The sequence below is a fragment of the Homo sapiens genome, chromosome 11, assembly GCF_000001405.40.
Source record: "Homo sapiens chromosome 11, GRCh38.p14 Primary Assembly".
Lineage (NCBI taxonomy): Eukaryota > Metazoa > Chordata > Mammalia > Primates > Hominidae > Homo > Homo sapiens.
The window spans coordinates 85311500-85336925 of NC_000011.10; the positions used below are offsets into that span (position 1 = coordinate 85311500).

Sequence of the window (25426 nt, forward strand, 5' to 3'; positions counted from 1 at the left end):
ATAGAATCATGACATCTTCCAGTAAGTATATAATCCCCTTTACATGATAATCTGATAAAGGATTACTCAGTCTCTGGTTACCCATGCTGAGGTAAATTGTCCCATCATTGAATAGCTCGAAATTCAGAAGTTGTCTACAGTTTGAAATGAAACCTTATAGATAACTTTTATCTCTTAGACTTATTTATTTCCTCTGAACCACACAGACTAAATTTATACCCTTTACAACATGCCCTTCAAATATTGAAGATAGCTCAGATCTTTCCAAAGTCCTATTTCACTCTACACATTCATTCACCTAGAACTTTTCAAGCATTCTTCCTTATTTTTTATTCAATAGAATTTCAAAGCCTTCTCGCCACCCTAGTCACACTCCTTGGTTGGCTCTATAGTATAAAGTATGCTGCCAAGAACCACAAAATACCAAATATCTTTATTGGTCTCTAGTTACATGTACCTAATCAACACTCACTAAACATACCATTGTTTTTCATGACTCTGTCCTGTGCTCTTTATCTCTACAAGGAATGTTCTTCTCCCTTTTCTTTATGGGCCAAACTTCTAATAATTTTTCAAAAGTCAATTATCTCTGTGTTTTAACCATACTCTGTACATTCCTCTATAGTAAAATGTGTCACACTGTATTGTCTCTATTAATTATCTCACATGTAAGATTAGGGCTTCTTAAGAAAAAACATTGTGTCTTATTCAGTTTTGTATGAATGCATATATTTATGAACCAATAATGGATAATACCTTATTTTGTTATAATACCATCCATATTACTTAGGCAGCCAATATTAAACCTATATAAGGAATTCTAAAAATGACATCTCTCAGCTTTGTAAAATTTTAACTTATTATAATTTATTATAATTTATAACCTTATAAGTATATAATTATAATTTTGTAATTATGAGTTACATGTAATATACAATTATATTTAAATTATAATTTATAAACTTACCATATTTAACATTCTTTGAGATGTTATAAATTAAATTTGATAATGATCATTGTTTTTATTGAGATATCATACATTCATGCTGAAAGCATGAAAAGATTTTCAAATTCCTAAGTCCCCAGATCCTAAAGTTTCAGTTTGACTCTGATAAACAAAATTCTGACCAGAGAAAATTCAAGGCAGATTTGTCTCCATTTACCTTTTAAAAATACTTTCACTCACCTAGGAGCTTGAAAAAGTAAATACTTTAGAGTCTAAAAAAATTCAAAATCACTCAAGATCTTGTGAAAGACTGTTTTCTGTCTATGAAGTGTGATGTCCACTTCAACTTGTTTTCCATAGAGCAAGCACTTTTATCATTAAATTGATGGATGTGGCTTTGGCAAGAAAAACATTTAGAAAAATATTGAGAAATGATGAATTTTTAAAACTACCCTCAACTTATTTAGAATTAAAACACTCTTTAGGAACTATGGCAGAGATTTCTAGTAATCACCAAAACCCTTTTGGATATACATCTAGGTCAAACTTCCTGGTCTCCCTTGCATTTGGCTGTGGCTATATAACTGAATTATGGCTTTTGAGACGAGACCATACATGATGTGTGTCACATCTAGACCTGACCAATAAAAACTTCTCACAGGTTCAGGGAAGTCATATTTAGAAAGAAAAAAATAAATTTTTAAAAAAGGGGAAAAAACCTTTTTACAGGTGATCCCCCTTCCTCTTTTAACTCTTTTGGCTAGCTAGAATGGAAATGATCCAAAGAGTGACCTTCAGAGCCCCTTGACCTACTTGTTGAAGATGGCAAAGTCATAAGATGAAAAACATTAAAGTTCTTGAATTAATGCTAAAGGGAAAACTACCTAACCATGTACAGTCACATTAGATTTTGACATAAACAAGAAATAAATCCTTATTGTGTATAGCCACTGAGATTTTGGGATTTATCTGTTATAGTAGCTAATGTTAACAAATACAAGGATAGATCAACTTACACAGATTCCCAGCAAATGAAAACATCTCCACATCTCTTCATGGACATTTAAGTACATTAATAAACTACAATAATGTAACATAGTCTATATCCAATAGTCAAAGTGTTTACAATTGTTTTTCATGTAAAAGCATCTCCACAGAGGTGCTGCATGGAGAAAACTATTTAAAAACTTACAAATGCCATTACATAACTAATATTTAAATGTGAATGAACCTATTTATTCATAATTGAAAACCACAGCATCATTGAAGGTAAAATAATTTACTTCTTGGTTTTTGTTTCCTAATATGTAAAAGTTTATGTATCTCTCTTTTTTTTTATTCAGCAGTTAAAAACTCTTGAGCAATAACTGCACTCCTACTGAGATAATACCTTCCTGCAAATATATATGACCTCAATTGCAAAACTCATTGGGTCTCTCCAAAGTAATTTAAAAATCAATCTGATCTGTAACAAGAAGTCAATAGAATTCCTGAAAAATTTACATAACACAACTCCCTCTGTGTTTAAAATTTCACAGCAAAAGTTGTATATAAGGAAGAGCTTTACAGAAAGCTTAAGCAATGGCCCCAAAATGAAACAAAAAGTAAAGAACAATTAGACTGCTTCTAAATTTTAGTGGACTGATGTTATTATATTTATTCAAGGAACATTTATTGAGAACATACAATATGCCAAGCTCTGTGCTAAGCAACATGACAGCTACAAAACTGGCTCCTGATTTTCTGGATAGTATAGGAGATAAAAACACAAAGTAATTAACTGTTTCCTTTTGGTATTCTGAACTCTAAAATATTTCTGTCTAACACGATAGAAAAATAAAGCAAATCCCAAGCTCACTCCTAATAAAATATCTTTTAAAAATATCAATAACTGTGGATAGGGTTAGATGTTATCTGAAAGGAAAAACAGGTCAGCTAGGAAAAGATTCAAAAATAGAGAGGATCATATAAATATATCTATATGTATATATATTGACATATATACTCATATACAAACATACATATATATTATACATGCACACACATATACATATAATATATATACATCCTAATTTTGTCAAATTTCAGATGATAGTGGTGTGTCTTAGCTCCAGTGTCCTATAAGTAGAGCCTGAGGCAAATTAAATTTCTGGTACTTTATTTTGGGGGGTGAAAGTCCTTTATTTAGGAGGAGCAATAAGAGAAATACTACAGAAGAAAATGAGCAAAGAAACGTGCAAAGCAATGTAGTATAATGCATAATTGCATTGGCTTTATGAAAAGCCATGAATTGCCCTACCAGCTCTCTCAGCACAGGATACTTCTTTGGAAGGCTTTCAAGGAGAAACTATACTGTGGGACAGTTCACAGAGGGGAGAAAGGAGAGATACATTGTCAGCCTGGTAGTGTACCTCAATCTTCCATTTCACCTTCATACAGAACCAGTTCCCCCATACTTCAGTGTTGTGTCGTCCAGCCCACCAATGGTTATTTCACAAGCCAGATTTCACAGGCTCTGTGTCATTTCATCTAAGCCTGGAAAGTGAGAGGCAACTCAGGGTACATGAGGTTGGCATGAGAGAATTATGAGCTATCTAGGCCTGTGCCTCTGATCTTTGAGGGTTGTTGGGAGGGATTAGAGCACATATAAAAAACGCCTGTCATAAAATAAGATTCCAGCCTGGAAAAGATAGTTAAGGAATTAAGTAACAGCACCAGCACCAAAACAAGTCCCTGGCAGGTTCATCACTGAGCTCACAGCTTCCCCATGTGCTTTTTACCTCAAGAAGTGTCCCAGGCTAGCATTATTGCTTCTGGCTATTCCACTATCTTGTCCTGTCTTAGCATGAGCCAACTTTAACTCCATCCAATCCTGTCTTGCCATCCTGTTTTTCCTAGCAGAATCTTCAATAAGGTTGATAAACAACCACTCCAGCTGCAAGGACTCCCTGCATACCATTAGTTCTGATATGGTATCATAAAAGGCTCAGTTCTGCTAACAAGTCCTCTTCCACCAGAGGACTCAGCAGTGGGATAACCCTGGAGTCATCACCTGGTGTAAGACTGCTCTACAACATGCTACTATGTATTTCTGGATTGCTGTGCATGCATCACACTGATATCGAACATCTTCCAATGCAGGGAGCAACAGTGAACATCATATATCAGGACACACCAAAGATGTTGGTACCTCAACCCAAGATAGAGACAGGACACCTGTTAAGGCAGCTCTCATGCTTCTTTAAAACCAAAATTGTTTTCTCAAACTGCCTATTCTATAGCTGTCCTATTGGGGTGCTAATTCTCTAACGCTCAGTCCACACAGGAGTGAGGCCACCTTGTTTCTTATTTCCTCCCAGGAGGCTGTGTAGGATATTTAAAAACTGCCTCTTCACCTCTCTCAATCAGAGGAGCAGTTTCAGATCTGGAAAAATACAAGGATTTCCCTGTCTCCTCTGCTCTGGAAAAAATAAAATGTCCCCCAATCACAGGGTGAAAGGTTCTCCCTCACCTGAATTATCTGCCAATGCCCAGCTGTGTCCCTCCCCTCTCTGAGGACGATTTGACCCCAATTCATAACAGGAAAAACTTTTAAATAAACTAAAGGGTTGAATTACTGTTCACCACTTATTACATTAGCTGGGCTTGAGCACAGCTCGAACAGGTCAAACAGAAGATTTTTTTTTTTAAAGAATGTGAATCCAGTCAGATTCATCTGCAAATAGATCAAATAAACTACTACTATTTAACAGATCACTGTTTCTTATTAGCTGAAACTTTGTTCTAAAATGACTATTCTCAATGTCGCTAGTGTAATTAATTTAAAATGCTACTTCGATTTATAAATAACTCTCATAAACTAGAAAGACATATTTCTATAATCTAAACACCGATTTAAGCTATCCTGATGTTTAGTTATTTGAGCATGAGATGGACAGAAAGACAAGACTTATATTTTTAAATATCTGGTACTATCTCCTACCAAGTGGGAGCCATATTGGGATTAATATATTACCTCAAAATCTCAAAGGGACATCATTATGGAGCAAGGTGGGTTACAGGTAGCAGGAAAGAAGGGGAATAAATGAATACTATAGATGATGCAGCAGAATAAAGAAGGAAGAATGTGTCTTCTTTCTTGTGCCTATTTGCTGCTCTTAGCCAATGCCTCTCATGTACAAAAGCTAAAGATAGGATACAACTGGGTATTTGAAGAGAGTGACCAGGACAAACTCAACCCTATCTGTATACAGGGCTTCCCTATTTTATTCACATAAAAATAGAAAATCTTCTTTGGCAGAAGAAAAAAAACAGGTAAAATACAACTGGGTTTTATTATTTCAAAAAAATTGGGATATTTTCTTTGTCCCAGGGACTAGGCAAGGCACTAAGGATAAAATGGTAAATAAAAGTACGGTCCCCACCATCCTAGAATCTACAGTCTTATGGGAGACACAAAACTTATCAAATACATACTTAAATAAATCAAAACTGTAGTAAAAGCAATGTAAAAAAGATACAACATAGCACAACTGGGGAACATGACCTGTTCTGAAGTGTCAGAAATGGCTTCCTTGTTCCCAGTTTTGATCCAAAGTATGAATATCAACTTTGAAGGTAAAAGGGGGCAGAAGTGGAAAAGTAAATACAGAAGCATTGTATTCCAGGCAAGTAAACATCTTGTGTAAAAGCTCTGACGCAGGAAGCAACATAATTTGTTTGAGGATCTGAGAGAAAGCCAGTGTGGCGTGACAACAACTAAAAGAGGATGTGGTAAAGCTGCAGACATAGACGGGGCTCCATTTTAGTCTTTATTTAAAAATAATGTAAGGCCACTGAAAGGGTTCAATATTAATCCTTTATTCTAACTAAAGCTACCGAGAAACTAACATGCCAACTTCTCCAGCTACAAACGGAAGGAATCATCACTCTGAAGGCAGCCTCATGATATAATTTTATGCTCCAAAAACATTAATTTGCCCAGTATGTAGCAGGCCCTAACCTAGAAAGAAATGAGTAAAAGAAAATTAAAGAATATGCTGTCTAATGTTTTATGGTCTGATGGTAGAGACAGGGTCTTACTGGAAGAAAATACAGGAAGCACTAAAATAGTGGTATGTGCTGGATGCTATGAGAATAGTCTTTTGTTCCTTCCTCCAAGGAAAGAATTGAGCATTTAGGAGGACCCCATTAAGTTCCCCCCAGTTTTAGGGACTGAACAAAATAATAAGTAAATAAACTACAGTATAGGTGCTCAATGATGAGAACACATGAACACATAGAAGGGAGCAAGATACACTGGGGCCTATTGGAGGATGAAGGGTAGGAGGAGGGAAAGGATGGAGAAAAATAACTAATGAGTACTAGGCTTAATACCTGAGTAATGAAATATCTATATAACAATCCCCATGACACAATTTTACCTATGTAACATATCTGCATATGTACCCTGAACCTAAAAAAAAAATAGCACCCAATTTAGGATATATTTCATGTAAGTGTGCACATCTGTGTGTCTGTTCCACAATACTCATAATCAGGAGGTAGCACACATCTGAGGATAATTTTATGAACCAATTTAATTACATTTCCATGCCAATCCATCACAATTTTTTTCTTGTTCTTATTTACCCTTCTCCTCTAGTATCCAAAGTCAAAAAAAAGTAGAAGCAGTATTTAATCTGAGTGGATTATCAATAACTTGTCAAATTTATAAAATGTAGTTTTAAGACCAGCTGCATGTGAAATAAGCCAGCATATTGGCATCCCTAAATGATCACTGAATCAGAGAATTAATTCTTCCCACACTAAATGGACTTCTGGCAAAGTAAAAGTCTACTACAATTTTCCAATGTGGCCAAATCCTTCTCCAGAAATTGCACTTTGAGAACTAGAGGCTCCTGATCAATGTTTATCAAGTTCTAACAAAACAGAATAAAGCAGCAGAAACCCAGTAGACTCATGATATAAATAGTTGACAACATTAATGAGTAGAAAAAAAAGGAAAGTACACTCTACGTTTTGAGGAATAAAAGTGCAAAAAAGAAACCAGGCAGCCTTATCTTGGCCAAAGCTCTCATTTTTCATCATCTTTGAGCTGATAAAATGCTTCCCAAAAGGCTTTGTAAATTCCACTTGGTTGAAATGTAAGGGAAGGGAAAGGGAAGTAAATATGAAGCCAACCGGACTAGAAAATATTAGAGAAGGAGGAATTAGGGAGGAAACAAATGAAAGAAAGATTTCTAAGAAAAAATAATTTCATTACTCAGAAGGTAAGGAAAGACCATAAGGAAACATGAAAGTTGAGCAATACTGTTGCAGCATCTTTACTTTCCACCTCTTATCACTTCCTTCCAGCAACCCTCTAAAACACTTCTGCCACTAAGGTCCACTGTTGAGGTTAAGAATCCATGACAACTATGGATTCAAGGTATCAAAGTTTGTCACATTATACAATGACTACATAACAATTTGCCACTGCTAATTTCATCCACAAATAAAGCCATCACTAACAAAAGCAACACAAGCTAAGCTTTACTATTATGTAGATGACAGTAAGTCATTTAAAACAAGAACATCTCACAAATGCCTAGTTGCATTTAAATTTTTAAATAAAAATGTTATTTTTCAAATGACTCTATCTGTAACTTCTCTGGTTCTTTTTATACATCCCTACTTCAGGATAATGTGAAGCTAAGCAATTTCTTTAAGCCCAAAATGAAACCATATAATATGCTATTTCTTAACAGTCTCAAACCACAAAGACTTATAACCTTAGAAACAATAAAAAAAATTCAAGAATGCTTTTAAATCTTTCTTTTTTCCCAAAATTAAGTTGAAAATAGTAATTTATCTTTCAAACTCATCTAAAAGTGTAAATATTAAGGTTTAACAATAGTAATCTTGGAGAGTAGTTCCAGTACATCATTAACTTTATGAAACATTTTAATAGATGCCACTTTCCTTCTGGTTTTCTCTACTGCTTTGTAATAGCATAAATATTTATTCACTAAATTCTAGAACTCTTGCTATATAAATGTTTTATGGCTATATCATATAATTTGTATAAACACTATCCTCTATATCTTGAAGAAAAGCCTCTTAATGTACAGTTTCAGCAATCTGTGTTAAATTATAAAACTCATGGTATAAAAAGATATCATCCACAAGGTAAGGTAGAGAAGAGAAATGGAACGCAGTGTCTGAATAGTTTGAAAATTTAAAGAAGAAGCAACCAGCCTGCCAAGACAGGTCACTGAGGCACCATTCCTGGAGAATGTTCAATGTGCATTAACATATTCAACACAGTATAACTTTATTTATGCTCTCTAATTCTTAAGGAGATATAAGTCTTAAAATCCTGTGTCTCTGATGACCTTCTCAATTGCAACTTAAAATCTGGAGAGCCTACACCATAAATTTTATTTCTAAGTAGTTGAGATCTTAAATTACTCCTAAGTCAAAGTTTACAGCTTGGCTATTTTAGTTTTTGTGAAAAAAATTGCAACATTTTTGGGTACTCAATCATGTTTCATTCCTTCATATCAGGTAAAGCCCATAACTGAGATGAAGGTAGAAAAATTTCTTAAACCATGCTCTTTGAGCCTCTCATATATTTTCTAGATGCCTGAACTAAGCCATGTGCTAGCAGCACATGCCATCTTATAGACTACATCCCTCAGCATCATCCTGTAGATAAGTTACCATATGCTGTGATAAAAATATTGGTGAAAGGAGTGAAAGCTCAAAGAATGAAAATTTAGAGTCATGAGCATTATTTAGGGATAGAAAGGTCCTTAGAATTCATCTAGTCCAGCAGCCTTATTTTACAAATAACAAAGCTAAAGCTCAGAGAAATTAAGCAGCTTGTCTAAATTTTCAGAGCATGTAAGTAGGGAGCTAGCTTAGGAAATCAGGTCCATCTAATTCTTGGTTCAGCACTTTTATTTGTATATTATGCAGTCTCTTAATCAAAAAGAGGCATTTAATCATTCAAAAAAATGTACTGACAGGCACAGGAATTACAGAAGAGAATGAAAAAAGAGATGGTATTCCTAGTCTAATAAAGCTCACATTCAAGTGTGAGGAAAAAATATAAAATTATATACACAAAATAAATATATGATATATGTCAGGTAGTGACAAGTGCTCTGGAGAAAAATTCAAGAGGTGAAAGGGATGAACAGTGAGAAAGATTACTTTATATCAAATAGTCAGTAAAGAGGTGAAAAGTAGACAGACACTTGAAGAAAGGATGAAGCAAGCCATGTAATTATCTAGGGATAAAGTACTGTAGGAAAAGGGAACAGAGGGTGAAAATATCTTAAGTCAGGAATGTACTATTCATGCTCAAGAATCAACAAAAAGCCACAGAGACTGGAGCAGAGTGAATGAAGGTGAATCATGACAGAAGAGGATGTTGGAAACATGGTGTGGTGGCTTATTGTTTAGACCTTTGGATTTTTTTTTTCAGTAAGGAAAATCAATGGAAGTTTTCGAATAGAGAAATTTTATGATCTAACTTCCATTTTAAAGTGTCCCTCCTTAGTCTCATGTATGGTCCAAAAAATAAAATAAAATAAAATAAAATAATCTCTCCAGCTACTGTTTAGGGAATAGGAAACTATTGAGCACTCTAGGTAAGAGATGATAGTGATTTGAATGAGGGTAATAATGGACAAAGTGATGAAAAAATATTGGATATATTTTGAAGATAGGGAGAAAGAGATTTTTGCCTATAGACTACATGAAGGCTATGAGAGAGAAAAAGTAGTTTTTTAGCCTGGGCAAGTGGAAAAATTGAGTCACTATTTATTAAGATGGAAAAGACAATGGGAGAAGTTGAGTATCAAGGGCTTAGTATTGGCTATTATAAACCTGAGATGCTTGTAAGGTATTCCAAGGTGAATATTGAGTAGTGTTTGGTTTTATGAGTTTAGAGCTTAAAAGAAAACTTATAACTAGAGATATAAATTTAGAAGTTGGAATTATATAGATTGCATTTAAGTCACAAAACTGAATAAAATAATCTAGCGAGTATGTACAGCTAGAAAATACAGACTAAGGATGATAGGGTACATAAGAGAAGCAATGAGCAAGCAAGGCTACAGGTGTGAGTCCTGGAACATTTCAATATTTAGAGATTTGGGAAAATAAACAGGAAGATCTAGGTAAGATGACTAAGAAGGAGCAGCCAGTGAAGTAGGAGGACAAGCAAAGGATTGTAGTATCCAGGAAGCCAAATAGAGTTAAATGTATCAAGGAGGAGGAAAGGATCAACTGTGACAAAAGATTCTGATAAGTCAAGGAGGATGAGGTCTAATCAATGTTTAGTCATTGATAACACTGACAGGATCTTCGCAGGACAGGTTTAGTGACGTGGTCAGCAAGAAGAGTAAGTTCAAGAGAGAATTAGAGGAAAAGAGATGCAGACAGTAAGTGTGTATAAATTTGTTGAGTCTGGAGTAAATGGGAGCAGAGAAATGGGGCAGTTCCGAGAGAAAAAAGGGATCGATGTTATATTAAGGCTATAAGAATCAACCAGGAAATGTGTGGCAGCAGTTCCCTATTTCCTATTACATTTTACTTCATTATATTCAGTAATATTCTCCTCTACTCCACTTTTATACCTACTCTCCAAACCTTATCATCACTCCAAAGTGCCCTACTATATCATAAATAGATACACTCCACCTTCTGGTCACCATATCCTTTTCTCACCTCATCTGTACTTTGACTCCAGTGGTACCTCCAGTGTACTGATTCCTCTACATCACCGCCACCCATAAGCCCCTTTCCGTGTAAATTTTCCTATCCATTCAGCTTATATTCCTTGGTCCATCACTTCAGTCACTCTCTCATTAAGATTCTAAACTCCTTTCCTCTATGGTCATTCCACTGAGTACAGGAAATCCTCAATCTTGGAAATTTTGGATGAAAATCATTTGCCTAACCTATACTAGCATCTTGGCTGCTGAGCACAGTTTAAGTAAAATCACACAATGGGAAAGGTTTGCATTATTATAAATTAGTGATTATCAACCTCAGATTAGTGACTAATATCAGCTGATATTGCTTCCCTATGTAGACTGTTCTCTCATTTTCCACAATGAAAATTTTCAAAAACACCTTAACCACATATCCTTAAACCTCTCTTATTACTTTGAAACAGTAAATGGTTCCATAACCAAAAACAAAAACAATAACAAAAATCTTATTCTCCTCCACTAGTATTTCTTACATCCAGAAATATTTCCACTGATCACCCAGTTGCTCTGTCAGAGACTTCAAAGTCATCCTTGATACCTCCCTCTCTGCCACTTCCCCCTCTCCAATCAATTATGAAGTCTATAGATCCTATATAATAAATATCTCTTGATTTGTCAATTTTTCCCATTCCTGCTGCTGCTAGCTAAATCCAGGTAACCAACATCTCACACCTGCACTACCACAAGAGCCTATGATTCCTGTTTCTACCCTTTAAATAGGATAATCTTTTAAAATTATAAGTCTGATCATGATGCACACACAACCCCCATTGATTTAACTTTTTAATGACTGTTCATTGCATTTATTAATAAAATAAAGTAAAACAATTCTTAATATGGCCTGCAAGGCCCCCAATAATCTATGTTCTTTCTAACTCACCTGTCACTTTTTCCTTCACTCTGTACCATATTGGGTCACTGTGAGGAGCTGGAGGAAACCTTTCTCTCTCTCTTGCCTGTAGGCCTTTGACCTAATATTAGTATTCTACCCTCTTCCAACCATTACTATCACTAACAGTCTCCTAAAATATTGTCAGCTGAAATATCAACTCCAAAGGATCTCTTTCCTAACTAGGCAGAAAAAGTTAACACCATAAACTTCCCTTGCAAAGCATTTGTTGCACAGATAATTACTTATTAAATGCCCTTCTTTCTTTTTATTTTTTGACATATAATTTTACATGTTTATGGGGCACATATGTTTTGATACATGCATAGAGTGTGCAATGATCAAATAAATGAAATTAGAATATCTACCAACACAAATATTTGTCATTTCTTTGTGTTGGGAACATTCCAAATCTTCTCTTCAAGCTATTTTGAAATATACAATAAATTATTGTTAGCTATTCTCACTCTACTGTGCTATCAAACACTAGAACTTATTCCTTCTACCTAACTGTATTTTTCTACATATTAACCAACCTCTTTTTATCCTCTCCTCCCTACTACCTTTCTCAGCTTCTAATAAGCATCATACTACTCTCTACCTTCAGGAGGTGAACTTTTTTAGCTCCCACATATTAGTGAGAATATACAATACTTGTATTTCTGTGTCTGACTTCTTTCACTTAACATAATGTCCTCCAGTTAGATCCATGAACTGCAAATGACAGAATTCCATTCTTTTTATCGCTGAATAATATTCCACTGTGAATATATACCACTTTTTTTAAATCCATTAATCTGTTGATGGACACTTTGCCAATTCACCACAGGTGGCTCAGCCCTCCTGTCACTTCCAATTGTTCCCATGTAAGTGGATGGTAGTGGGCTTCCAGCAAAGATTCTCAGACTGGTGGGGAGTGAACATCTAACTCCAATTCTCTCCTCTCACCTCAGAAACCATGGGTCTAAAGAAGTTCTCTGTAAGTGACATCGTCCTTGCTTGGGGTAGGGGGTCACACAGTCTGAAATGACCATTTATTTAAGTCACCAGACATGGCTTCTCTGAATTATGTAGGCCCAGAGAGCTTCTCCACTTCTCCCCTGAGTTCACCAGAATTCCTGTCTTTGAATAGCTTCTACTTGTATTTTTTTGGTGGAGTGATGCCAGGATATTTTTTATTCCACCGCCTTGTTGACATCACACCTTCTATCTAGCTTTCCTGCTAGATAGACTATAAGTTTCATAGAGGTAGCCTTATATTTCTATCACCATTATATCCTTAGCTCTTACTACAGAGTTAGAACTCAAAATGTATATGTTGAGTTGAATTTAACACCTTATTTTGCCTTTAAGATTTTCATCAAAAATTCGGGAAAGACTAAAATCATCTGAACATCTGATTACTGATACACTGGTATTATTAAACTTTCGGAGCATCATCCCCATTTCCTAAAGAAAAGTAAAAGCTGAAATCTAGATTTTTATAAACATTGCTCTATCTTTAGTAGTTTCTAACATACCTGAAAACGGCTGCCTACAGAAAAAAGCTACACAAGAGGTTTTGAGGTTTGCTGTATTTGTGAAGAATTCAGGACCAAAAGAAATAATTTTTAGGTGACTGAAAAACGGTGTGCTTAAAGAAGAAAAAGAAGTTGGGGAGGGAGGAGCCAAGATGGCCGAATAGGAACAGCTCCGGTCTACAGCTCCCAGCGTGAGCGACGCAGAAGACGGGTGATTTCTGCATTTCCATCTGAGGTACCGGGTTCATCTCACTAGGGAGTGCCAGACAGTGGGCGCAGGCCAGTGTGTGTGCGCACCGTGCGCGAGCCGAAGCAGGGCGAGGCATTGCCTCACCTGGGAAGCGCAAGGGGTCAGGGAGTTCCCTTTCCGAGTCAAAGAAAGGGGTGACGGACGCACCTGGAAAATTGGGTCACTCCCACCCGAATATTGCGCTTTTCAGACCGGCTTAAGAAACGGCGCACCACGAGACTATATCCCACACCTGGCTCAGAGGGTCCTACGCCCACGGAATCTCGCTGATTGCTAGCACAGCAGTCTGAGATCAAACTGCAAGGCGGCAACGAGGCTGGGGGAGGGGCGCCCGCCATTGCCCAGGCTTGCTTAGGTAAACAAAGCAGCTGGGAAGCTCGAACTGGGCGGAGCCCACCACAGCTCAAGGAGGCCTGTCTGCCTCTGTAGGCTCCACGTCTGGGGGCAGGGCACAGACAAACAAAAAGACAGCAGTAACCTCTGCAGACTTAAGTGTCCCTGTCTGACAGCTTTGAAGAGAGCAGTGGTTCTCCCAGCACACAGCTGGAGATCTGAGAACGGGCAGACTGCCTCCTCAAGTGGGTCCCTGACCCCTGACCCCCGAGCAGCCTAACTGGGAGGCACCCCCCAGCAGGGGCACACTGACACCTCACACGGCAGGGTATTCCAACAGACCTGCAGCTGAGGGTCCTGTCTGTTAGAAGGAAAACTAACAACCAGAAAGGACATCCACACCGAAAACCCATCTGTACATCACCATCATCAAAGACCAAAAGTAGATAAAACCACAAAGATGGGGAAAAAACAGAACAGAAAAACTGGAAACTCTAAAACGCAGAGCGCCTCTCCTCCTCCAAAGGAACGCAGTTCCTCACCAGCAACGGAACAAAGCTGGATGGAGAATTATTTTGACGAGCTGAGAGAAGAAGGCTTCAGATGATCAAATTACTCTGAGCTACGGGAGGACATTCAAACCAAAGGCAAAGAAGTTGAAAACTTTGAAAAAAATTTAGAAGAATGTATAACTAGAATAACCAATACAGAGAAGTGCTTAAAGGAGCTGATGGAGCTGAAAACCAAGGCTCGAGAACTACGTGAAGAATGCAGAAGCCTCAGGAGCCGATGCGATCAACTGGAAGAAAGGGTATCAGCAATGGAAGATGAAATGAATGAAATGAAGCGAGAAGGGAAGTTTAGAGAAAAAAGAATAAAAAGAAATGAGCAAAGCCTCCAAGAAATATGGGACTATGTGAAAAGACCAAATCTACGTCTGATTGGTGTACCTGAAAGTGATGTGGAGAATGGAACCAAGTTGGAAAACACTCTGCAGGATATTATCCAGGAGAACTTCCCCAATCTAGCAAGGCAGGCCAACGTTCAGATTCGGGAAATACAGAGAACGCCACAAAGATACTCCTCGAGAAGAGCAACTCCAAGACACATAATTGTCAGATTCACCAAAGTTGAAATGAAGGAAGAAATGTTAAGGGCAGCCAGAGAGAAAGGTCGGGTTACCCTCAAAGGAAAGCCCATCAGACTAACAGCGGATCTCTCGGCAGAAACCCTACAAGCCAGAAGAGAGTGGGGGCCAATATTCAACATTCTTAAAGAAAAGAATTTTCCACCCAGAATTTCATATCCAGCCAAACTAAGCTTCATAAGTGAAGGAGAAATAAAATACTTTATAGACAAGCAAATGCTGAGAGATTTTGTCACCACCAGGCCTGCCCTAAAAGAGCTCCTGAAGGAAGCGCTAAACATGGAAAGGAACAACCGGTACCAGCCGCTGCAAAATCATGCCAAAATGTAAAGACCATCGAGACTAGGAAGAAACTGCATCAACTAATGAGCAAAATCACCAGCTAACATCATAATGACAGGATCAAATTCACACATAACAATATTAACTTTAAATATAAATGGACTAAATTCTGCAATTAAAAGACACAGACGGGCAAGTTGGATAAAGAGCCAAGACCCATCAGTGTGCTGTATTCAGGAAACCCATCTCACGTGCAGAGACACACACAGGCTCAAAATAAAAGGATGGAGGAAGATCTACCAAGCCAATGGAAAACAAAAAAAGGCAGGGGTTGCAATCCTAGTCTCTGATAAAACAGACTTTAAACCAACAAAGATCAAAAGAGACAAAGAAGGCCATTACATAATGGTAAAGGGATCAATTCAACAAGAGGAGCTAACTATCCTAAATATTTATGCACCCAATACAGGAGCACCCAGATTCATAAAGCAAGTCCTGAGTGACCTACAAAGAGACTTAGACTCCCACACATTAATAATGGGAGACTTTAACACCCCACTGTCAACATTAGACAGATCAACGAGACAGAAAGTCAACAAGGATACCCAGGAATTGAACTCAGCTCTGCACCAAGCAGACCTAATAGACATCTACAGAACTCTCCACCCCAAATCAACAGAATATACATTTTTTTCAGCACCACACCACACCTATTCCAAAATTGACCACATAGTTGGAAGTAAAGCTCTCCTCAGCAAATGTAAAAGAACAGAAATTATAACAAACTATCTCTCAGACCACAGTGCAATCAAACTAGAACTCAGGATTAAGAATCTCACTCAAAGCCGCTCAACTACATGGAAACTGAACAACCTGCTCCTGAATGACTACTGGGTACATAACGAAATGAAGGCAGAAATAAAGATGTTCTTTGAAACCAACGAGAACAAAGACACCACATACCAGAATCTCTGGGACGCATTCAAAGCAGTGTGTAGAGGGAAATTTATAGCACTAAATGCCTACAAGAGAAAGCAGGAAAGATCCAAAATTGACACCCTAACATCACAATTAAAAGAACTAGAAAAGCAAGAGCAAACACATTCAAAAGCTAGCAGAAGGCAAGAAATAACTAAAATCAGAGCAGAACTGAAGGAAATAGAGACACAAAAAACCCTTCAAAAAATCAATGAATCCAGGAGCTGGTTTTTTGAAAGGATCAACAAAATTGATAGACCGCTAGCAAGACTAATAAAGAAAAAAAGAGAGAAGAATCAAATAGACACAATAAAAAATGATAAAGGGGATATCACCACCGATCCCACAGAAATACAAACTACCATCAGAGAATACTACAAACACCTCTACGCAAATAAACTAGAAAATCTAGAAGAAATGGATACATTCCTCGACACATACACTCTCCCAAGACTAAACCAGGAAGAAGTTGAATCTCTGAATAGACCAATAACAGGCTCTGAAATTGTGGCAATAATCAATAGTTTACCAACCAAAAAGAGTCCAGGACCAGATGGATTCACAGCCGAATTCTACCAGAGGTACAAGGAGGAACTGGTACCATTCCTTCTGAAACTATTCCAATCAATAGAAAAAGAGGGAATCCTCCCTAACTCATTTTATGAGGCCAGCATCATTCTGATACCAAAGCAGGGCAGAGACACAACCAAAAAAGAGAATTTTAGACCAATATCCTTGATGAACATTGATGCAAAAATCCTCAATAAAATACTGGCAAACCAAATCCAGCAGCACATCAAAAAGCTTATCCACCATGATCAAGTGGGCTTCATCCCTGGGATGCAAGGCTGGTTCAATATACGCAAATCAATAAATGTAATCCAGCATATAAACAGAGCCAAAGACAAAAACCACATGATTATCTCAATAGATGCAGAAAAAGCCTTTGACAAAATTCAACAACCCTTCATGCTAAAAACTCTCAATAAATTAGGTATTGATGGGACGTATTTCAAAATAATAAGAGCTATCTATGACAAACCCACAGCCAATATCATACTGAATGGGCAAAAACTGGAAGCATTCCCTTTGAAAACCGGCACAAGACAAGAATGCCCTCTCTCACCGCTCCTATTCAACATAGTGTTGGAAGTTCTGGCCAGGGCAATCAGGCAGGAGAAGGAAATAAAGGGTATTCAATTAGGAAAAGAGGAAGTCAAATTGTCCCTGTTTGCAGACAACATGATTGTTTATCTAGAAAACCCCATCGTCTCAGCCCAAAATCTCCTTAAGCTGATAAGCAACTTCAGCAAAGTCTCAGGCTACAAAATCAATGTACAAAAATCACAAGCATTCTTATACACCAACAACAGACAAACAGAGAGCCAAATCATGAGTGAACTCCCATTCACAATTGCTTCAAAGAGAATAAAATACCTAGGAATCCCACTTACAAGGGATGTGAAGGACCTCTTCAAGGAGAACTACAAACCACTGCTCAAGGAAATAAAAGAGGACACAAACAAATGGAAGAACATTCCATGCTCATGGGTAGGAAGAATCAATATCGTGAAAATGGCCATACTGCCCAAGGTAATTTACAGATTCAATGCCATCCCCATCAAGCTACCAATGACTTTCTTCACAGAATTGGAAAAAACTACTTTAAAGTTCATATGGAACCAAAAAAGAGCCCGCATCGCCAAGTCAATCCTAAGCCAAAAGAACAAAGCTGGAGGCATCACACTACCTGACTTCAAACTATACTACAAGGCTACAGTAACCAAAACAGCATGGTACTGGTACCAAAACAGAGATATAGATCAATGGAACAGAACAGAGCCCTCAGAAATAATGCCACATATCTACAACTATCTGATCTTTGACAAACCTGAGAAAAACAAGCAATGGGGAAAGGATTCCCTATTTAATAAATGGTGCTGGGAAAACTGGCTAGCCATATGTAGAAAGCTGAAACTGGATCCCTTCCTTACACCTTATACAAAAATCAATTCAAGATGGATTAAAGATTTAAACGTTAGACCTAAAACCATAAAAACCCTAGAAGAAAACCTAGGCATTACCATTCAGGACATAGGCGTGGGCAAGGACTTCATGTCCAAAACACCAAAAGCAATGGCAACAAAAGCCAAAATTGACAAATGGGATCTAATTAAACTAAAGAGCTTCTGCACAGCAAAAGAAACTACCATCAGAGTGAACAGGCAACCTACAACATGGGAGAAAATTTTCGCAACCTACTCATCTGACAAAGGGCTAATATCCAGAATCTACAATGAACTCAAACAAATTTACAAGAAAAAAACAAACAACCCCATCAAAAAGTGGGCGAAGGACATGAACAGACACTTCTCAAAAGAAGACATTTATGCAGCCAAAAAACACATGAAGAAATGCTCATCATCACTGGCCATCAGAGAAATGCAAATCAAAACCACTATGAGATATCATCTCACACCAGTTAGAATGGCAATCATTAAAAAGTCAGGAAACAACAGGTGCTGGAGAGGATGTGGAGAAATAGGAACACTTTTACACTGTTGGTGGGACTGTAAACTAGTTCAACCATTGTGGAAGTCAGTGTGGCGATTCCTCAGGGATCTAGAACTAGAAATACCATTTGACCCAGCCATCCCATTACTGGGTATATACCCAAAGGACTATAAATCATGCTGCTATAAAGACACATGCACACGTATGTTTATTGCGGCACTATTCACAACAGCAAAGACTTGGAACCAACCCAAATGTCCAACAATGATAGACTGGATTAAGAAAATGTGGCACATATACACCATGGAATACTATGCAGCCATAAAAAATGATGAGTTCATGTCCTTTGTAGGGACATGGATGAAATTGGAAACCATCATTCTCAGTAAACTATCGCAAGAACAAAAAACCAAACACCGCATATTCTCACTCATAGGTGGGAACTGAACAATGAGATCACTTGGACACAGGAAGGGGAATATCACACTCTGGGGACTGTGGTGGGGTCGGGGGAGGGGGGAGGGATAGCATTGGGAGATATACCTAATGCTAGATGACACGTTAGTGGGTGCAGCGCACCAGCATGGCACATGTATACATATGTAACTAACCTGCACAATGTGCACATGTACCCTAAAACTTAGAGTATAATAAAAAAAAAAAAATTAAAAAAAAAAAAAAAAAAAAGAAAAAGAAGTTGGGATGTAAATTTTTTTATTTCTTTTCCAGAGTCTGCTCAAATTCTCATACATAAACCCTTACTTCCACCTGGTGGTTTCCCACAATGTGGAAAGTGATTATTGGGATTTCCCATGTATACTGAGTATTACTACACTTGAAATGAATCACGGTAACATGCAGGGATGATAAAATACAAACTATTTATATGAGGCACGAAGCTCATCTGTATTAAGTTTAAAATATATGAAATGATAAAATTCTAAAATATGCCCAAGTACAAAAATAAACCCATAATGTTGACATTCACTTTATTTTTTCCAAGAATATAACTTCTGTTTTCTAAAGATCTGAACCTGATTTTGTAGTATGTTGTCATGGCCTATGGACATGTGGCATGGGTTTCAACTAGCAGGCCAAAACTGTTAATGAGAACATTAATATGACAAAATATGTAAATAGACGCCCTATAAAAAGGGTTCCTGGCCAAAAAAAGTTCAATATATATACCTCTTAGAGGTAAATGTATACAAATGCATATTCACTTTTAAAGATGCTAGCGGTAATAAAATCATTTAACTTCTTTTTGTGTGCCTTGCCCTTCTTTTTCTTTATTACATTTTGTTGTTAATTCCAAAAGCCTGGTTTTCTTTTTTATTTCTTTTTCAACTTTTACTTTAGAATTGGGCGTGCATATGCAGGTCTGTTACATGGGTAAATTGCATGCCACTGGGATTTAGTGTACAAATAATTTTATTATCTAGGTAGTAAGCATAGTGCCTGATAGGTAGTTCATCAAACCTCATTCTTCTGCCACCTGCCACCTGAAGTAGTAGGCCCCGGTGGCTATGATTCCCCTCTTTGTATCCATGTGTACTTAAAGTTTAGCTCTGCATATACGTGAAAACATGAAGTATTTAGTTTTCTATTTCTGTGTTAATTTGGTTAGGATAATGACATCCAGCTGCATACCAGTTGCTGCATTTGACACAATTTTGTTCTTTTATGGCTGCATAGTATTTCATGGTGTAAATGTACCACATTTGCTTTATCCATCCACCACTGATGGGCATCTAGGTTAATTCCATGTCTTTGCTATTATAAATAGTGCTACAATAAACATACAAGTACATATGTCTTTTGGGTAGAATGGTTTGTATTCCTTTGGGGTATATACCCAGTAATGGCATTGCTGGATTGAATGGTAATTGTTTTAAGTTCTTTGAGAAATCTCCAAACAGCTTTCCATGGTGGCTGAACTAATTTATACTCACACCAACAATCTATAAGAATTCCCTTTCCTCTTCAACCTTACCAAAATCTGTTATTTTCTAACTTTTTAATAATAGCTACTCTGACTGGTTTGAGATGGTATCTCATTGTAGTTTTGAAATGAGTTTCTATCATGATTAGTGATAATAAACATTTGTTCATGTGTTTGTTGTCCATAAGTATGTCTTCCTTTAAGAAGTATCTGTTGATGTTCTTTGCCCATTTTTTATTAGGTTGTCTGTTTCTTGCTTGTTGATTTGTTCAAGTTGTTTATAGATCCTGGCTATTAGACCTCTGTTGAATGCACAGATTGCAAATATTTTCTCCCATTCTGCAGGTTGTCTACTCTCTATGGGTCCTTTTATTTTGCAGAAGCTTTTTAATTTAACTAAGTCCCTCTTGTCTATTTTTTCTTTTTGTTGGAATTGTTTTTGGAGACTTCATCATGAAATGCCAGAGCTGATGCCAGAATGATACGTTTTAGATTTTCTCACAGAGGTTTTATAGTTTTAGATCTTAAATATAAGTCTTCAACCCATCTTGAGTTCATTCTTGTATATGGTGAAAGGAAGGGGTCCAGTTTCAATCTTCTGTGTATGACTGGCCAGTTATACCAGAACCATTTATTGAATAGGGAGTACTTTCCCCATTGTTATTATTGTCGACCCTCTCAAAGATCAGATGACTGTAGGTGTGTGGATTTATTTCCAGGTTCTCTAACTTGCTCCATTGGTCTGTCTGTTTTCCTGCAAGTCCCATGTTATTTTGGTTACTGTAGACTTGTAGTATAGTTTGAAGTCAGAGAGTATGATGCCTCCAGCTTTGTTCTTTTGGCTTAGGATTACTTTGGCTATTCAAACTCTTTTATATTTAATATGAATTTTTGAATACCTTTTTCTAATTCTTTGAAAAATGTCATTGCTAGTTTGATACGAATAGCATTGAATCTTTACATTCCTTTGATCGTATGGCCATTTTAACAATATTGATTCTTCCTATCCATGAGCATGGAATAATTTTCCATTTGTTTGTGTCTTCTCTGAATTCTTTCAGCAAGTGTTCTCATTGCAGAGATTTTTTACCTCCCTGATTAGCTATATTCCTATGTATTTCATTATTTTGTGGCTATTGTAAATGGGCTTGTGTTCTTGATTGGCTCTCAGCTTAGATGATAGTGGTATATAGAAATGCTACTAATTCCTGTACATAGATTTTGAATCCTGAAATTTTATTGAAGTTGTTTATCAGTTCTAGGATCTTCTTGGCAGAGACTATAGGGTTGTCTGGGTATAAAATCATATCATCTGTGAAAAGAGATAGTTCAACTTCCTATCTGAATGTCTTTTATTTATTTTTCTTGCCTGGTTGCTCTGGCTAGGACTTTCAGTATTACATTAAATAGGAGTGGTGAGAGTGGTGATCCTTGTCTTGTTCCAGTTCTCAGAGGGATTGCTTCCACCTTTTGCCCATTTAGTATGATGTTGGCTGTGGGTTTGCCATAGAGGCTCTTATTCTGAGGTATGTTCCTTTGATGCCTATTTGTTAAGGGGTTTTGACATGGGGAGATTTTCAATTTTATCGAAAGCTTTTTCTGAATCTGGTGAGATGCTCATGTGGTTTTTGGTTTTAGTTCTGTTTATGTGATGAATCAAATTTATTGATTTCCATATGTTGAACCAAGTTTGCATCCCAGGGATAAAGCCTACCTGATTGTGGTGGATTTGAATTTTGATGTGCTGCTGGATTCAGTTTGCTAGTATTTGGTTGAGGATTTTTGCACCTATGTTTACCTGGGATATTGGCCTGAAGTTGGTTTTTTTTTTTCACTGTGTCTCTGACAGGTTTTGGTATCAGAATGATCCTGCCCTCACAGAATGAGTTAGAGAGGAGTCCTCCTTCTTGCTTCTCTGGAGTAGTTTCAGTAGGATTTGTACCAGCTCTGCTTTATACATCTGGTAGAATTCAGCTGTGAATCCATTTCATCCTGGGCTTTTTCTGGTTAGTAGGTATTTTACTACTGATTCAATGTCAGAATTCATTATTGGTCTGTTCAGGGTTTCAATTTCTTCCTGGTTCAATCTTGGGACATTTTATGGTTCTAGGAGTTTATCCATTACTTCTAGGTTCTCTAGTTTCTGTGCATAGAAGTATTCATAATAGTTTCTGAGGATTTTTTGTATTCCTTTGGGGTCAGTAGTAATGTCTCCTTTGTCATTTCTGGTTGTGTTTACTTGGATCTTCTCTCTTTTTTTATTTATTATTCTAGCTAGCAGTTTATCAATCTTATGTATTCTTTTAAAGAACAAATTTTTTGTTTCATCTATATTTTGTATAAATTTTCATGTCTCAATTTTGTTGTATTAAGTTCTGATTTTTATTTCTCTTCTCCTTCTAGCTTTAGCATTAGTTTGCTCTTGTTTTCTCTAGTTTCTCTAGGTATAGTGTTAGATTCTCAATTTGAGACCTTTGTAACTTGTTAACATGGGCTTTTAGCTCTATAAACTTTCCTCTTAACACTGCTTTAGCTGTGTCCCAGAGATTTTGGTATATCTTTTTTTCATTGGTTCTAAAGAATTGTTTGATTTCTGCCTTAATTTCATTCTTTACCCAATAACAATTCTGGAGCAGATTACTTAATTTCCATATAATTGTATTGTTTTGAGATATCTTCTTGGTATTAATTTCCATTGTTATTTCACTGTGGTCTGAGAGTGTGGTTGGTATGATTTCATTTTTATTAAATTGTAGAGAACTGCTTTATGGCTGAGCATGTGGTCAATTTGTGAGTATGTTTCATGTGACAATGAAAATAATGTATATTCTGTTGTTGTTGGGTAGAGTATTCTGTAGATGTCCGTTAGGTCCTCTGGTCAAGTCTTGAGTTTAGGTCCTGAATGTCTTTGTTGGTTTTCTCAATGATCTCTCTAATACTGTCAATGGGGTATTGAAGTCTCCCACTACTTTTCTGTAGTTATCTAAGTCTCTTTGAAGACCCATAAGAACTTGTTTTGTGAATCAGAGTGCTCCAGTGTTGGGTGCATATATATTTAGGATAGTTAAGTCTTCTCGTTGAATTGAATGCTTTATCATTGTGCCCTTTGTCCTCTTTGATCAATATTAAAGTCACTTTGTGTGAAATAATAATGTGAAATAACAGCATCTCTGCTTTTTTTTTTTGTTTTCTGTTTGTTTAATAAATCTTTTTCCATCCTTTTACTTTGAGCTATGGGTGTCACTGCATGTGAGACGGGTCTCTTAAAGACAGCATACAGTTGGGTCTTTCTTCTTTATCCAATTTGCCACTCTTTGCCTTTTATTGGGGCATTTAGCCCATTTACCTTCAAGGTTATATTGATATGTGAGGACTTGATCTTGTCATCATGTTAGCTAGTTGTTATGTAGACTTGATTGTGTAATTGCTTTATAGTCTCAATGGACTATGTTATTATGTGTCTCTTTGTAATGGCAAGTACTGATCTTCTATTTCCATGTTTAGCTCTCCTTTAAGGACCTCTTGTAAGAGGCCTTATAGTAATGAATACACTTAGCATTTGCTTGTCTAAAAAGGATTTTATTTCTCCTTTGCTTATGAAGCTTAGTTTGGCTGGATATAAAATGCTTGGATGACAAACACCGCATGTTCTCACTCATAATTGTGAGTTGAACAATGAGAACACATGGAGATGGGGGCGGAGGGCATCACACACCAGGACCTATCAGGGGGTGGGGGACTAGGGGAGGGATAGCATTAGGAGAAATACCTAATGTAGATGACGAGTTAATGGGTGCAGCAAACCACCATGGTATGTGTACACCTATGTAACAAACCTGCATGTTCTGCACATGTACCCCAGAACTTAAAGTATAATAAAAAAAAATTCTTGGTTGAAATATCTTCTATTTGCACATGCTGAATATAGGCCTCCAATCTTTTCTCCCTTGTAAGGTTTCACTGAAGGGCACACTATTAACCTGATGCGGTTCCCTTTGTATTGCCAAAAGAGCATCCCAAGAGCCTGTTCCATGGTGTACCCATATTTTTTCTGGCAATGGCAATGTACTCAACCAGCTTTGCTTCTGACTCATTCTGATTTGGTGACCACACCAACATGCCAAGACTGTCCCAGTCTTGGCTGCATCTTGCCAGTTTGGTGGGGTTGAAGTCAGTCACCACCACCTGGTACTGGGGTCTGCCCCTTATGCCACCACCACTGTGCTCCCCATGGCTGGACAAGCCCAAATGATCTGCCTTCATCCCAGGAGGTTCTGCTGCCATTGCCATTGAGATCCCCCCCTGCCAAATTTTTATTCTGGCTATTACTGGGAGCAGTGGCAGTTGAGGCAGCAGCAGCTGAGGTGTAGGTGGTGGCAGTGGACAAAGATGTGGGCAAGGCATGGGTGGCCAAGGTGGTAGCAGCAGCTGAGGAGGTGGCCAACATAGCTGTGTTGTTCCTCCCTCTCCACTTCTCTGAGACCTCAGGGCCCTTCTCCACCATGACTGGCATCAGCAGGGGCAAAAGTGCTGGGGACCCACAGCTCCTGAGGATGGGGTCCTGAGCCAGGAGGAGGGAATGTGGGTGGACATGGGGTGGGTGTGGGGCCTTTTAGGCAAAGTAGGAGCCCACAGGTGCAAGTTAGAGCTGGGGCAGGCCCAGATGAGCAGAGCAGAGCACAGTTGCTTCAATCTCCCAGTGCCAAACTGAGCAATTTTGGTCTTATGACCACTTTCACTTCATTAGTATTCTTTTAACTTTAACCCACTATTTAATGGAAAAAATTAACCATCAATCCATTTTCTCACAAATCACCTTTTAGCATCTCATATGACTCTAGCATTCATCCATAGGCTT

The 25426-nt window shown here is 37.4% G+C and overlaps 1 protein-coding gene and 1 pseudogene across 13 annotated transcripts in view, besides 1 other annotated feature; both read right to left on the reverse strand.

The window, feature by feature from the left end:
• The window catches only part of DLG2 (discs large MAGUK scaffold protein 2), a 2173362-nt gene that overhangs the window by 1856488 nt on the left and 291448 nt on the right, over positions 1 to 25426 (reverse strand). The gene's annotated exons all lie outside the window — the stretch shown is intronic.
• Positions 5571 to 5640: an enhancer, noted in NCBI's record as "active region_5360". NCBI's record gives its function as "activates an Ori minimal core promoter by ATAC-STARR-seq in GM12878 lymphoblastoid cells {active_cell/tissue: GM12878}" and the evidence as "EXISTENCE:reporter gene assay evidence [ECO:0000049][PMID:35858748]".
• Positions 24563 to 25072, reverse strand: LOC100419092 (REST corepressor 1 pseudogene; annotated as a pseudogene).